Genomic DNA, 15,113 nt, shown 5'->3' on the forward strand with positions numbered 1-15,113 from the left:
CTAGCAACAAACATAAAGAAAATTTTACTGTTCTGCATGATCAAATTTCCCAAATCAGTTCACACTTCAGGTAGACCCTTATTTAAAAAAAGAAGAAAGAAGGAAGGAAGGAAAGAAGGAAGGAAGGAAAGAAGGAAGGAAGGAAGGAGAGAGAGAGAAAGAAAGGAAGGAAGGAAGGAAAGAGAAAGAGAAAGAAAGAAAGAAAGAAAAGAAAGAGAGAAAGAAAGAAAGAAAGAAAGAAAGAAAGAAAGAAAGAAAGAAAGAAAAGAGAAAGAAAGAAAGAGAGAGAGGGAGGGAGGGAGGAAGGAACGAAGGAAGGAAGAAAGAAAAAAGAAAGAAAGAAAGAAAAAAGAAAAGAAAAGAAAGAGAGAAGGAAAGAAAGAGAGAGGGAGGGAGGGAGGGAGAAAGGAAGGAAGAAAGAGAAGGAAGGGAGGAAGGGGGGAGGGAAGGAAGGAAAGTTATCTAATCATCTTCAGTTTACCCTTAACCAGTAAAATAATGAGATGGTTTTCCACCAACAAACAGTAAGAGTTATTGCATGGTCTTAAGAGGAATATTCTGAAGTGAAAATTTACCTTAGCAGATGAAAGGTGGTTACTAATTAGAATAATGTAGATAGGGTCTTACTCAGAAAAACTGGTCATTACCAAACCTTCTAAGAATGCTATGGAGGAGGCTATCCCCAAGAAGTGTGCGTGCCTACTCAGGCTGGTCACTGCTTCCACGCTGCCCTTGGAAAGTCTAATTTTTTTTTTTTTTTTTTTTTTTTAGGTTACCCAGGCTGGAGTGCAGTGGCACCATCTCAGCTCACTGCACCCTCTGCCTCCCAGGGTCAAGTGATTCTCCTGCCTCAGCCTCCTGAGTAGCTGGGATTACAGGTACGCGCCACCACGCCTGGCTAATTTTTGTATTTTTAGTAGAGACGGGGTTTCACCATGTTGGTCAGGCTGGTCTCGAACTCCTGAGCTCAGATGATCTGCCCACTTCGGCCTCCCAAAGTGCTGAGATTACAGATGTGAGCCACCGCACCCAGCCTAAGAGTCTATCTTTAGTGATTTTCAAACCTGGTGGAGCATCAGCAACAAGTATGGAGATGCTGCCTTTGCTCTCTGAGATTCAAATGTAATGGGCTTATCAGAGTGAGCTCAAGCACGTGTACGGTTAAAAAAGAAGACATTCAAGAAACAAAACTCCAAAGCTGAGCTACTGCTCTACTGTGAGATGACTGCAGACATCCCTAACTACTGTGAGGTCTAGTAGGACAATTGTTCACAGGCATCATGCATGATCCATCAGCTGCACAAGCTCTCCTTACAGTACCCTCTGGCACTCAGCATCTCCCTTTCCTCCCCACTTCTGACACCCAGGAGTCTGAATCTAGTGAGTCCTGACACTGAGGCCACCACCCTCTCCCTCAATACATGGTGGTTCTAGGCTCGCCCACTCCACTGGGGTTACATCAGACATGCCCAACAATCAAGCTCTATCTGGAATACCAAACTCTATCTTCATCCTTCTATCCTCAAAACTGGGCATTGTGCCTAGCCCAGAGTGTATATAATAAATGTTTTTGAGTAAAAAATAAACGAATAAGTTATCTTTGCTAGGATACAGCAGTATGGCTTTTTTGAATTTTGTTTCTGAAAATCATCTGCTGAAAATTGCTTTCTGGAAAGGAGAAAATTTGTTCTTGGCAATGTTCTTAGGGCTACTCTTTGTCATGTTTAGAAGTGTTGATGATCTCAAAATAAACATGTGTTTTGCAATAGCTAGCCAACTAGATACATAAATGTATGGATCTATTTGTGTGTGTATATATATGTACACACACACACACACTTCCAGTGCCCCCAAACCGGACCTTTCCTAAAGCTTGCTGAGCCCTGAGACTACATGAAGTTAAATGAAAACAGCAGCCCCGCATGTGCAAGTGCTGTTTTGTGAAACATGTTTAACACCCAGAACTGTAACCACTAGCCTGAGGTCAAGGAACAGAACATCTGCTTCTCTGGTTGCCAGACAGAGATGATGACATGACAACATTTGGGTGAGAAATATTCATTTTCCTCTGCAACCACAAACATACTTACAAGAGCCAGAAATCACTCCAGATTGCCCAACATGAGGAAAACAGAACCTACAAATGCAGCTTGTTTTTGACAAAGAAGTCATTTTTAGGAGATGAGGAATTTAGAAGCAATAACAGCAGGATTCATCTGTGACTTCCCAAAGTCAAACACTAATGGAAACCAGGAATGTAGGTCTGCATAAGTGCCCTAAACACCATCAGCACAATTAGCCATTTATTCTACAAATACATATTGAGTGCTGTTTACCGTTTTAAGCTCTATGAATACAGCAGTGAACAAAACTGACATATCTCCCTGCTTACTTTCTAATAGACACAGGTAAACATTTATTGTGTTGATAGTATGTTAGACTACACAGGGGGAAACAAAGAAGGAAAAGCAATGGAGAATGCTGGAATGCTGAGGAGAAATGGGAAATGGAGTTTATGATTTTGATTAAGAGCTCAAGGAAAGCCAGACTGAGAATGGGATTTGTAAGCAAAGATTTGGAGGATGTCAAAGAGCAAGCGGTACAGACATCTGAGGAAGAGTGCTCCAAGTCGAGTCCGTATACACGCCTGACGTGTCCGAGAAGACTCATGATGTGGCCTGAGCAATACCGAGATTCACTGCTGTGGTTGTTTTCCCAAAGTGACTGTGAACTCAACCACAAGGCCTGGGTCTTATTTTTCAGGGTATCTCCAGGGTCCAGGATATGATACAATGCTTTGTTCAAATGGTGAATAGCAAGCGTATGGGTTAAATTACTCATCAACAGAGTGATGATGTGTGATCTTGCCACCATGGGTGCTGTTACTGAAATCAAAACTCCCATGAGTTACAAGCTGAGTGCCACACATAGTGACTGTGCACAGCACTGTGCTTTGAACACACACTATCCACCACCCCATCCACCTTCCTGCACCAGCCATCTCAACCAACAGGAGCAGTGTGTGTGGGCGCTCATGAAAAGACGGCAGGCTATTACCGAAAGAACTCTGTTTATACCTCCTATCGGTAACGTTTGTGAAAATCAGTATTGTGCTGATTTTCAACTCGTTTGTTCATTGTATTTTCTTAAAATCATATGATATAAATCAAAGTTACTTCAGAATTGCATGTCTTTTTTTTTAGCCCAAAGGTTTTTCCTAACATTCTATTTACTTCAAATATATATTCTATTTCCTTTCTCCTTATTCTGAATTTTATTTGTTCTGTTAGATGAACATCCCCAAAGTGAAGGAGTATATTAAAACTAAAGTTATCCCAGGCAACCATAATCTGAATAGTAACTAACAGTCTTAAGGTCTTGTATATTTTGCAAGAGGCAGAAGACAAACTCACTCATTTCTATTCTGACCTTTAAAAGCCATGGTGGAAATGTTTCATGATTATTGTTTGGATAAAGAACAATTTTCCACCAGGACAGTTTCTGGTGTTTCTGGTTAAATCATGTAGCTCTGATTCAGAGTGTACTTAAATTCTGACATCTCCCATCCATAAAAATAATGATGGTACCACCTCTGAATGATGTAACTGTTTTTGTTTTGAGCTGTGTGGTTTTTTGGTGGAGTTTGGGGTGGGGGTAAGAGTGGGCAGATGGGAAGAAGGGTTGAATCGGCCTATTATCTTCTAAGTGCAGAGGTCAACACTGGCTACAATCTTCCAAGTGTAGCTTTTGTTATATGTCACATACAGTAACTCAAATTTATAAATCATAAATATTCCTGTATAAATTTTATTTTCAAACAGTGCCAAGTACAAACAGCAGGAATGGAAGGATGAGAATGATCTGTATCTGGTTTTTCATATGCCAAGGACTACCAATGGCCAAGCCCAGGACAAGGCTTACTCACCATATCTTCTGTTTATTCTACCTCTGACTGCAGTATAAGACTCATCTTGTTAGTCTCTGCAACTAACACTAAAATTAGTACTTAGCTCTGAATTCAGCCACATCTAAATTACCATTTTCCTCTTTTTGTAGCCAAATAACATTAGAGCAAGAGAGGCTACTGTAGCTACTTTCAAATATAAACTGCATTTTAAAAAATTTAATTGAAACTACTAACACTGAGACTTCATAAGTATTTGGAAACATCATTTATATTTCTAGTCTCTATAATTACTACTGTGAAATGAACAACCTAAGAATGTAAACAAGTCTAAAAATACGCTTCTAAATTTGGTATGATTATCAAAATTCTAATAGAAATAAATGCCTGTTTTTCTCCCACCGTTGGCCATTTAATTCAATATCATACACGTTGCCAACACTTCACTGAACCCCTATGGTCTCTGCCAACTAATAAAAAAAAACAGCAAAGAAAAGTAATGAGTACTCAGGATATTAAAGATAATAGAGAAATATTGATATCTATAGTGGATATATGAAATTGTCTTGAATGAACCAGGATCTAGTTACAATCCCAAGATACATTGATTTATCTTTTAAAATGGTGCTCTTTAATCAGATTGAGTTCTAGAGTAAATTTGGAGAGATTGTGATACATTTTCAAAATATGTAGAAAAGGCAACAATTGTTAAAACAATTACAGCCAGAGAGTACACAAAATCCTTCCAGTAGAATCAGTACACTGCATTTATTACTCTAGCATTTTATATACGGTATATGGTGAATGACCATTGACCTGATCTGAGACCTGTGTCTCAATGCAAGGTGTTCAGATAGGAAAATTGTTGGGGAACTGCAGAAGGGATAAGGAAGCAAATCTTCCAATCATGGTAACTTAAATCCCTTAATGTGACATCTCAGTATCTCAATAATCAGTACATCTAGAGCCAGAAAAACAAAAAACGAAAAACAAAAAACCTCTAGAGCTTCTTTAAATCGAAACTCGGCCGGGTGCAGTGGCTCACACCTGTAATCCCAGCACTTTGGGAGGCCAAGGCCGGTGGATCACCTGAGGTCAGGAGTTCAAGACCAGCCTGACCAACATGGTGAAACCCTATCTCTACTAAAAAAAAAAATACAAAAATTAGCTGGGCATGGTGGCAGGCTCCTGCAATCCCAGCTACTCGGGAGGCTGAGGCAGGAGAATTGCTTGAACCAGGGTGCAGTGAGCTGAGATCACACCATTGCACTGCAGCCTGGGTGACATAGTGAGACTCCACCTCTTTAAAAAAGAAAGAAAGAAAAAAAAGAAACTTGTGTCTATTTGGGCAGCAAAAGCACAGTAGTCCTTACTTAGCCTTTGGAACTGTGCTACTTACTCCCTTGTACTAAGTTTCTAGCTCTTGTCTTTCTGGTCCTGTTGAAAATGACTGAGAAATGCACACAGTGAAATCTGAGTGGATTACCTCCATCTTCATTTATCCAGTAAAGAAAAAGATTCATAGTTCCCACTTCAGTGATCTGATGGTCCTCTCCATAGAGCCACAGGACCTGCTGACACCCATTATCTACTGCTTCACATTGGGCAAAAAGAGATGAGCCGTAATTCCTTTAAGAAAGAGAAAATACACAGGTTACAAACATACTTCATCCCCACTCCCTCATCTTCTACCCTCTGATAGCCTCAAGCTCTTAATTCACATGTGGACATAGTGAAGGTATTATGTTCTTAATATATATACACTCTCTAGTCAACTGCATAACATTAAAGGAAAACTCATTAGAAAATCTAAGTGATTTAACTGCATTCATTGGAGAGAGAACAACGTGAAACCTTGAAATTTTAACTTGAAATGTAATGATAGAAGAACACAGGTAAATAGCCAAGTTAATGAGAACAGTTAAAAGTTACTATGTTTCCACACACCAAGCAATTTTACATGAATTATTTCATTTAAATCTCACACCAATACTATGAGATAGACACTATCATTATTTCCATTGTTCAGATGAGAAACTAAGGTTTAGAGAAGTAACTTCTGTCAAGTTGCAATAGAAGAGCAGCAAGTGTGAGCGCTCTTATCTAACACCTTTTAATGTATCCAAGGAATACATAATGCCCAATGTCTAAATTCCCCTAAAAGATAGGACAAATGTTAAAAGTCTCGATGTTGACCAAAAAGTATTTCAAAAGCCTATTTTTCTCAGCCTGCACCATTCATCTCAGATTATTTAAAATGAAAGGAACACAGCACATTTTCCCGGAATGACAATTTAGTGTTATAATACTTTTAAGGTATCATCTTTTATCTAAACTTATATGGGAAAATTATGGAGTATATTATAAAATAAGGATGAATATTTTAGACAAAACATGAGAGTCCTCAAATAAATGTGATGACTGCTTGCCTCCCTACACCCCTGGTTGTATAACTCAGTAGGTCTGAGAAGTACTGCCGTAAGACAGTCAGGGATCGGGAATAAACTCTAGTCCTCCTGTTGCACCATGAAATCCCCAGAAATACACAGAAACAAACAATGAAAAACAACTAAAACAACTACAAATGTAGTAATGTAAAACTCCTACATTACATTACATTACATTAATGTAATCTACCACAAAATATCTATTTAGGTCTCTTAGACTCTTTTACATCTGGGTAAAATTACAATTTGTACTGTTGTCTAAATAAAAGTTGAGCATGAGGCCAGGCGCGGTGGCTTATGTCTGTAATCCTAGCACTTTAGGAGCCTAAGATGGGCGGATCACTGAGGTCAGGAGTTCGAGACCAGCCCGGCCAACATGGTGAAACCATGTCTCTACTGAAAATACAAGAATTAGCTGGGCGTGGTGGCGGGTGCCTATAATCTCAGCTGCTAGGGAGGCTGAGGGAGGAGAATCATCTTAACTCGGGAGGCAAAAGTTGCAGTGAGCCAAGATAGCACCACTGCACTCCAGCCTGGGTGACACAGTGAGACTCTGTCTCAAAAAAAATAAAAATTAAACATTAGAGCCACATGTTAGTGTATATCTACTGTTTTCATCTGCACTATATTCCATACTCTTATAAAAACATAGTCTTTCTATAGAGCTATGTCATTCTGCTTGGACTGATAATATAGCATCTTGCCCTACCACAACTGATGACAATATAGCATCTTGCCCTGCTGCAGCTGAGTTAAAGGGTGGGCATATAACCTAAGACAGTCACATGATTCCTTTTTTGGGTGCATTCACTCATTTTAATGTCTATAACCTGAAATACAGGCATTTTCTCCCTTCTGGGGTTGCTTACTTGGTATGCTGTAAAACTGGGGTCGGCTGTGTCCATGATCACCACACTTCACAGAAGAAAGCGGCTGAAGTGGGAGAGCCCTAGGCCAACATGGAGCCAGAAGCTCTGACCAGAGGCAGAGGAAGAAGGGAAGAAAAAGGGGGATGTGCAAAGGACACAAGAAACTTGGAAATAATTGCTTTAGCCCCTAGCATCCTAGTTTCATAAGCCCTTGTCTGCTTAAGATCATTTCCAGGCCGGGCACGGTGGCTCATGCCTGTAATCCCAGCACTTTGGGAGGCTGAGGTGGGCAGATCACCTGAGGTTGGGAGTTTGAGACCATCCTGACCAACATGGAGAAACCCCGTCTCTACTAAAAATAACAAAAAAATTAGCCGGGAGTGGTGGCCCATGCCTGTAATCCCAGCTACTCTGGAGGCTGAGGCAGGAGAATTGCTTGAACTCGGGAGGCGGAGGTTGCAGTGAGCCGAGATTGTGCCATGGCACTCCAGCCTGGGCAACAAGAGCAAAATTCCGTCTCAAAAAAATAAATAAATAAATAAATAATAATTTCAAGTTGGTTTTCTGACTTGCAACTGAAAGAATATTGACTAATAGCTGAAATATTCCAGTAAGCTGTGGAAAATAGACATCATACTATGGTGATTGCCATTGGAGCACGATGAGGTTGACTCACACCAAGGTAATGTTAAGAGTCCTTAAAAGGGCCAGGCGCGGTGGCTCACGCCTGTAATCCCAGCACTTTGGGAGGCGAGACGGCCGGATCATGAGGTCAGGAGATTGAGACCATCCTGGCTAACACGGTGAAACCTCGTCTCTACTAAAAATACTAAAAATTATCCGGGCGTGGTGGCTGGCGCCTGTAGTCCCAGCTACTCGGGAGGCTGAGGCAGGAGAATGGCGTGAACCCGGGAGGTGGAGCTTGCAGTGAGCCGAGATCGCGCCACTGCACTCCAGTCTGAGCGACAGAGTGAGACTGTCTCAAAAAAAAAAAAAAAAAAAAAAAGAGTCCTTAAAAGGGCCAGGCACAGTGGCTCATACCTGTAATCTCAGCACTTTGGGAGGCTGAGGTGGGCAAGTTACTTGAGGTCAGGAGTTCCAGACCAGCCTGGCTAACATGGTGAAACCCTGTCTCTACCAAAAATATAAAAAACTAGCTGGGTTTGGTGGACCACGCCTGTAATCCCACCTACTCGGGAGGCTGAGGCAGGAGCACCACTCACACCAGGGAGGCGGAGGTTGCAGTGAGCTGAGATGGTGCCACTGCACTCCAGCCTAGGAGACAGAGCGAGACTGTCCCCTCCCAGCAAAAAAAAAAAAAGAGCCATTAAAAGACGCTTAAAACATATGCTTCTAAATACAGATGACAAAATATAAATTCTTGGTCAATGTGGAGATGAAGCAAGTCTGGTATACAGATAGGAAGCTATTAAAAAAACAATAAAATAAATAAAAATTAAAAAGACAAAGACAACAGATAGGAAGCTATTGTTTAATGACCATAAAAAGTCAAATAATCCTTATTCATAACTGATAGTAAATAGATAACTGAGTTAAATTACAAATGCTTTTTAATAATGAGTATAAACCAGATTGCAGGGGACGTCTGGTAGAAAGACCACAGGTTTGTTGTTAACAGACCTGAGGACAGCTCTTGCATTTCCACTATTTGGTATATGTGAACTTAAGCAAGTTAGTCCTTATTTTTCCCTCATTTAATTATCTGGCAGATAAAAATATCTGCTTTATATATCTCATTGGGTTGCTTGGAAAAAATAAATAATAACAATAAAAGCCAAAGGATGAGTTACATGAGACTGTTACATCCTAATGAAATTAAGTTTTTTAAAAAATAACTATTTCAGTGGGGTGTGGTGGCTCATGCCTGTAATCCCAGTGACTCAGGACACCGAGGCAGGAGGATGGCTTGAGGCCAGAAGTCCCAGACCAGCCTGGGCAACACAGCAAGACTGCATCTCTAAAAACTAATAATAATAACTATTTTATTTGAATTTTTTCTCATTCGTAGACACAACTACGAAGTAGTGAAGCAGTGAAGTTTTACCCTACCTGAAAATAAATTATTTTTTCATATACAAAATGCCCTTTAGACTGTATTAAAAAACACATAGAGAATTCTTACAGGATGAATATTTAGCCTTTCAAAGAAGCTTCTAAATACAAATGCATACACATTTCTGAAAGTGTAGCTGAATTAAAACCATGGCTCCTCAGCTTCATGAAGCACTGAGCAAGGAAAGAGGATTAAAGACAGTGACTATTTCAATGCACTGAAAAGAAAAGGGTTTTTTATGTTTAAGTTTTAATTGATTGATTGATGTATTATTATATTCTGTAGATGGTCTTTATTCCCCCAAACAAGTTTTAATTTTCCCAGAGTTCTCTCACAGGTGTAAGCTGTATTATTAATGTCCACAGGATAACTGATACCATGGTAATATAGTTGGGTTCCCGCCCATGTGCTGCCAATATTCATAAGAGAAACATGTTCTTGGAGGAAACAGAAAAATGAAAAAGTAAGAAAGCTGTTGACATAGAAACATTTCAATATGGTTTTAAATAGGTTATCTGGGAGAATAGACATATTAAATACATCCCTCCAAAAGAATAAATTCTATTATGTAAAATTTAACTGATTTCTTCTAAGATAAAGAGAGTCCAGGAAATGAAATGAGAAAGTGAGAAAACCTCACAACATCAGTGACTGTGAGAGTTTACTACAGGTTGAGGATCCCTAATTTAAAACTTTGAAATGCTCTAAAATCTAAAACTTTTTCGGTGCCAACATGATGCTCAATTTGGATTTCGAATTTTTTGGATTAGGGATGCCCAAAGAGAAATACTCCAAAATTTGAAATCCAAAACACATCTGGTCCCAAGCATTTCAGATAAGAGATATGCAACCCATACCTGCCAGACTGGGTGCTAAGTACTTAACTACATTATTTCATTGAGTCATCTAAAAACAACCCTAGACTTTATTGTTCATTGGAAGACTTGGAGAGAGGATTCAGTTGTAGAAGATCTCACAGATAGTTAAGTGTGTAACTCCCAGACATTTGACTCCTAAACCCAAGCTTTTAACCATTAGGTTATCATACTGCATTTGCTGAGAGCTTTCTATATGCCAAGTACTATCCTAGGCACTTTCTATTATCTCACTTAATCTGTGCAAGGTATTATTGCCTCAACTTTAAAAATGAGGAAACTGATACATAGAGCAGTTAAGTAACATGCCCAAGGCAATTAGGTTGGTTTGTTTTTAAAGACTTCAGGTTTTTTTCAGAGCAGTTTTAGGTTCCCACCAAAACTGAAAGGCAAGTACAAAGATTTCCCATATCCCTTTCTCCCCATCCAAATGAATAGTTTCTACCATTACCAATGCCTCACACCAGAGTGGTACATTTGCTGAAATTAATGAACCACATTGACATACCATTATCACCTGAAGTCTAGAGTTTTCATTAGTGTTCATTCCTGGTGTACATTCTATGGGTTTGGACAAATCTATAACGACATTTACGCACCATTATGACAGTTAGGTTTTTAAGCCAGGTCTTTCTGACTTCAAAGCTTGTACTCTTAAATGCAGAATCAGAATGCAAGGAAAAAAGAAAAAACTAAGAGAGATAATTTGTGTGTGTGTGTGCACGTGTGCATGTGCAAGAGAGAGAGAAAAAGAGAGAAAGAGAGAGAGAGTGACAGAAAGCCTTATTCCTCCCAAATTAACCAAGGAATCACCTGGAACTAAAGCTGTTTCTACAGTGCAAGACCTTTCTCTAGCTCAGTGCTTCTCAAGCTTGGCTGCATGCTAAAGAATCCTGATGCTCAGTCTCTGCCCTAGATTCACTTAGATAGAAAGCAGAAAGTTCTTGACTTTATGAGACTCAATAGTTATTTAATAATACCAGTTGACTACAGGTGTCAAGGGTAACTGTTGACTTAATTAGGTTTACAGATGTAATAATACACAAAACTAAAGTTGACTCCAAATGTCTTTGCCAACTCAACAGGATAATATTAAATGCGGAATATTTTGTTCCCCTTGTACCTCTCCAGGTCAGAAGCATAGGAGGAGACGGCCCTAGAACTTTTTGGAAGTGATAGGCATATAGGTTAAATGCCCATCCTTTTGGTTACCACCTTCCCTCTTGCCATTTTTAATTTATGAGTTCAATACTTTCTTCTCCGGTCTCTTCCTTTCCTAAGAGATTTCAAGTCAATTTCCATGGATCATAGTCCACCTGAGCCTAATGAATCAAATATTTTTATAATAGATTTTATTATTTTAGAGTACTTTTAGATTCACAGAGAAATTGAGCAAAAGGTAACAGAATTCCCCTATTATACCCCTTCCCGAACACCCTCTCAGTTTTTCTTCTTATTATCATCTTGCATTAGTGTGGTCCACAAGTCCACAGTTTACATTAGGGTTCACTCTGTGTGGTACTGAAAACATTAATTTTTAACTGGCCTACAGTGATCATGTATTCTGCAATAGTGCATTAAATCATTGTTTACAAAATAAATTACAACCTGCCCAAATACCGGTTAATAAAGATTGCCCTGCAATTTCTGTGTCCCCAGGTTATCTTTTTCCTAAACAGGTCGGGGAGCTAGAAAGCAATATTTTAAACAGGGAAACTTTTTCCTTATTACTTTTCATCAAGACTGTTTATTTACTCTCTATATATGGTATATATATGGTATGCAGTGGTACATAGGCACATGCTCTGCGAAGAAGTTTGAACCAGTAAAAAAAGAAATCAAGAGTCAAAAAAAGGAGTTTTCAACCTGGCTAGCCTAGGACACAGGAAGGTGTGCTCTAAGCCAGAAGGAGAATAGACTTCCTAGTTTTAATGCACTCCATTTGGATTTCTCTACCCATTGAGGGAATGCAGTTGCTAAAGTTGCCAGTGGGGATGACTTTTATAACCGTTCTTTTTTAATTTGGGTAGGTGAGGAGAGAAAAGAAAAAGGAAATACAGCAAGACTACAGAGGGGTCAAAGCCAGTGGTCATTGCCTCTAATACCCCAGCAGCACGTCATGTGACTCTCCCCTGCCTCCTGGACCTAAATGTCCTACCAGGGCCCACAAGACTGCCATGGAGTCACCTTCTAGGACAGCTGCTGCCCTGAGTATGCAAACAGCACCATTTGATACATGCAAAGCAAGAACCCATGCTGCTTAAACCAGTTATTCTCGTTCACCCATAGGGGCATTCCCAACTCATGGCCAAGTCCACCCCTGAAATCGTCCAACACTTTTCAAATGCTCTTTTATTTCCTGCCAGCTACATATGGCCTATGAGACTGGCCTGACAGAGCCAAAGCAGGGCTGTCCCGCAGCCAGTTGGCAGCAGGTGTGGCCACAATCTGTGGCAATGAAGACAGCACTTCAGTGAAGCGGGCACCTTCCCCAGACATGACTCCCTGGAGCCAACTGAGAGCCTGGGTCCCAGGACCAGATGCTTTTTAATGCCAGCCGTCAGCCTGCAGCCAGAGACCAGCGCCCAGGGGAAGTTTATCCAAAGCACCGATGTGATGCTTGTTGTAGTTTCTTACTTCAGTTCTTCCCTAGATATCATATCCAGTGTTTCTCCCTTACAAAGGGCCATGGGCTATCCTTTAAACTAGCACATCTAAAAGCGAGGGCACTGAATTCATACTGCGTTTATATAGGAAAAGCTACTACAGCTGGCTTGCTGAAAGATTAAACTGAAAATTAACCATGAAACACAATGAGCATTAAAGTTTGAAAAGTATTATATGTGTTCATACTGAAGTGAAATGGCACTAACTAAATGGTCATGAAGGTGTCTTTCCTTTAGACAGAGACACAGATTTACTTACCCTCCCATCTTGCAGTCCCCAGTTCCACCTTTCCAGGCTCTTACATACTTGGGATTGGCCCACAGGGACACTGGATTAAAGGTTCCACTTGAAAAATAAGGTCCCACTGGGCTCAAGAGTACAAAGAGCAGGGCTTTGGTAGGCTTCTTGACTCCAAGAGAAGGCTGCAACAAAGTAGAAGTACATACAACTGTAACTTAAAATGTGGACACCAGTCTTAAAGTCTAGAATAGATTTATATCTGTCTCCCAGAAGAAGCCATCGAATTACAGGAGCTATTACCATACTTTTAAAATTGAGTTACACAAAGCCTAGTGGTTTTTAAGAAGGAAATCCTGAGAATGGAGTACATACATTTCATTTTGCTTTGCTTTCTGAGTTGTTAGGATTTTAGCAAAAAAGCTAGATTTGTCCATTTTTGCGTGTTAGTAGGGTTTTGGAGGACAGACATATTTCTAACAACTATCTATATAACACCTTTCAAGGTTGCATGATTGGGAATTGAGAAAGGGGAGAACCTAGACATGGTTTTAGGCTTTGGGGGGTAAAATATAATATTTACTTCTCTAACTCATCCTTCTGTTTCATAGCCTAAGTGACTGCTTCAGGACATGGCAGGGTCTTCAGCAGGTGGTAGGTGCAGGCGAATGTGTCATTAGCACACCTGCCCACATCAACTAGCAGGTAGCAAGAGTGCAATTTCAACAGAGGGATAAGTACTGTTAAATCAAGTTTAGCCTACAGCTGCCTCATTACATTTTAAGCTCAGCTTAAAGGTTTCTTTGCACATCATGAACTATAACCTAAGTGGACATTATAAACAGATGGTAGCCTACTCTTGTGCCAATTACTGAGTTTTGGCCAATCAAACGTGGCCAACTGTTCAAACCATGTTCAAATAAGGCAAACGCTGAGTTATAACCAATTCAGCTGTTTCTGAATCTCTTTTCTGTTTCCTGTATGTCACTTTCCTTCCTCTGTCCATAAATCCTCTTCCACCATGTGGCTGCACTGAAGTCACAGGGACTACTCTGGATGGGAAGGCTGCCCGAATTGAGAATGGTTCTTTGCTCAATTAAAAACTTTTAAATTTAATTCAGCTGAAGTTTTTTTATTTAACAATATCTTCAAAAAAACAGGGAATGAATGACTTATAAATAACAAAGATAGAAGACCATCTTTCCCACAAACACTGTAAAGCCAGAAGCCCACAATGCAAAATCATGCCAATTCCTCCATCACAAGAGCAGTTATAAATAATTAGGGTTCATTGTTTATTAAGGAAGAAAACTGAGAGACCCAACGTTTTGAAGGCTACATATTAAGGTAGAAATGATCACTGGGCTATCCTCAGCAATATAAGACCACATGAAGTAAAAAAACAAGGCAGGACTCTTAGGTTAAGAGCTTCGGGATATAAACCACTTGTGTCCAATCTTCACTAGAGCCTGGTCTACCTGGATAGGAATGGGGATCTGTCAGGAGAAGAAAGAGAATCTTTACAATAGAAGACTCAACTTCAGCTGATTTTGTGGCTTTGTAATGTTTCTGGAGGGATATTTTTATCTGAACTTCAATTAAACTTCCCCTTACTACCCATTGCCCCACCATCCCTCACCCACTGCTCAACACTCAGATCACCAAAATCAGGCAGGTAAAATATTCATGAGCACAAAAAAATGTGTTTACACAAGCACACACCAATGCCATCTGAAAGGCATGTCACCTTAGGAAATGGGAAGGTAATTTCATTAGCATTCCATGGGAACATGACGACCAAAGGGCCTGGGTGGCCACAACAAACCTATGATGGTTGATGGAAGACTATGTTAGAGAAATCCGTCAGCAAGCAACAACAGGTTTTGATTGTTAGCTTGTGTTTGTTCTTTAACAGAGACTGAAGATTAAAGGAGGACCATCCTACCAGTAAAGGATAAAGCGCCTTAAAGCTTCATTTGCCTTTTTGGGTTTCATTGTTTGGGAGGAAAAACCTAAGCATAATACACACACCCGCTTTTC

At 40.0% G+C, this 15,113-nt stretch overlaps 1 protein-coding gene across 39 annotated transcripts in view, besides 1 other annotated feature; it reads right to left on the reverse strand.

The window, feature by feature from the left end:
- BCAT1 (branched chain amino acid transaminase 1) overlaps positions 1-15,113 on the reverse strand; it is a 139,317-nt gene that overhangs the window by 26,668 nt on the left and 97,536 nt on the right. For 37 of the 39 annotated variants that reach the window (NR_182105.1, NR_182109.1, NR_182107.1 and 34 more), the window contains 2 exons: positions 13,095-13,258; positions 5,391-5,533 (listed from right to left, as the gene is read on the reverse strand). Coding sequence is in view for 31 of the 39 variants with exons in the window: in NM_001413107.1 (NP_001400036.1) it covers positions 5,391-5,533; positions 13,095-13,258 (307 nt within the window). In the remaining 8 variants the exon portion in view is untranslated. The remainder of the gene's footprint in view (positions 1-5,390; positions 5,534-13,094; positions 13,259-15,113) is intronic. The other 2 variants (NR_182106.1, NR_182108.1) reach the window with 1 other exon arrangement.
- Positions 2,921-3,110: a silencer, noted in NCBI's record as "silent region_4291". NCBI's record gives its function as "represses an Ori minimal core promoter by ATAC-STARR-seq in GM12878 lymphoblastoid cells {active_cell/tissue: GM12878}" and the evidence as "EXISTENCE:reporter gene assay evidence [ECO:0000049][PMID:35858748]".

Source organism: Homo sapiens, chromosome 12 (assembly GCF_000001405.40).
Source record: "Homo sapiens chromosome 12, GRCh38.p14 Primary Assembly".
NCBI classification, from domain to species: domain Eukaryota; kingdom Metazoa; phylum Chordata; class Mammalia; order Primates; family Hominidae; genus Homo; species Homo sapiens.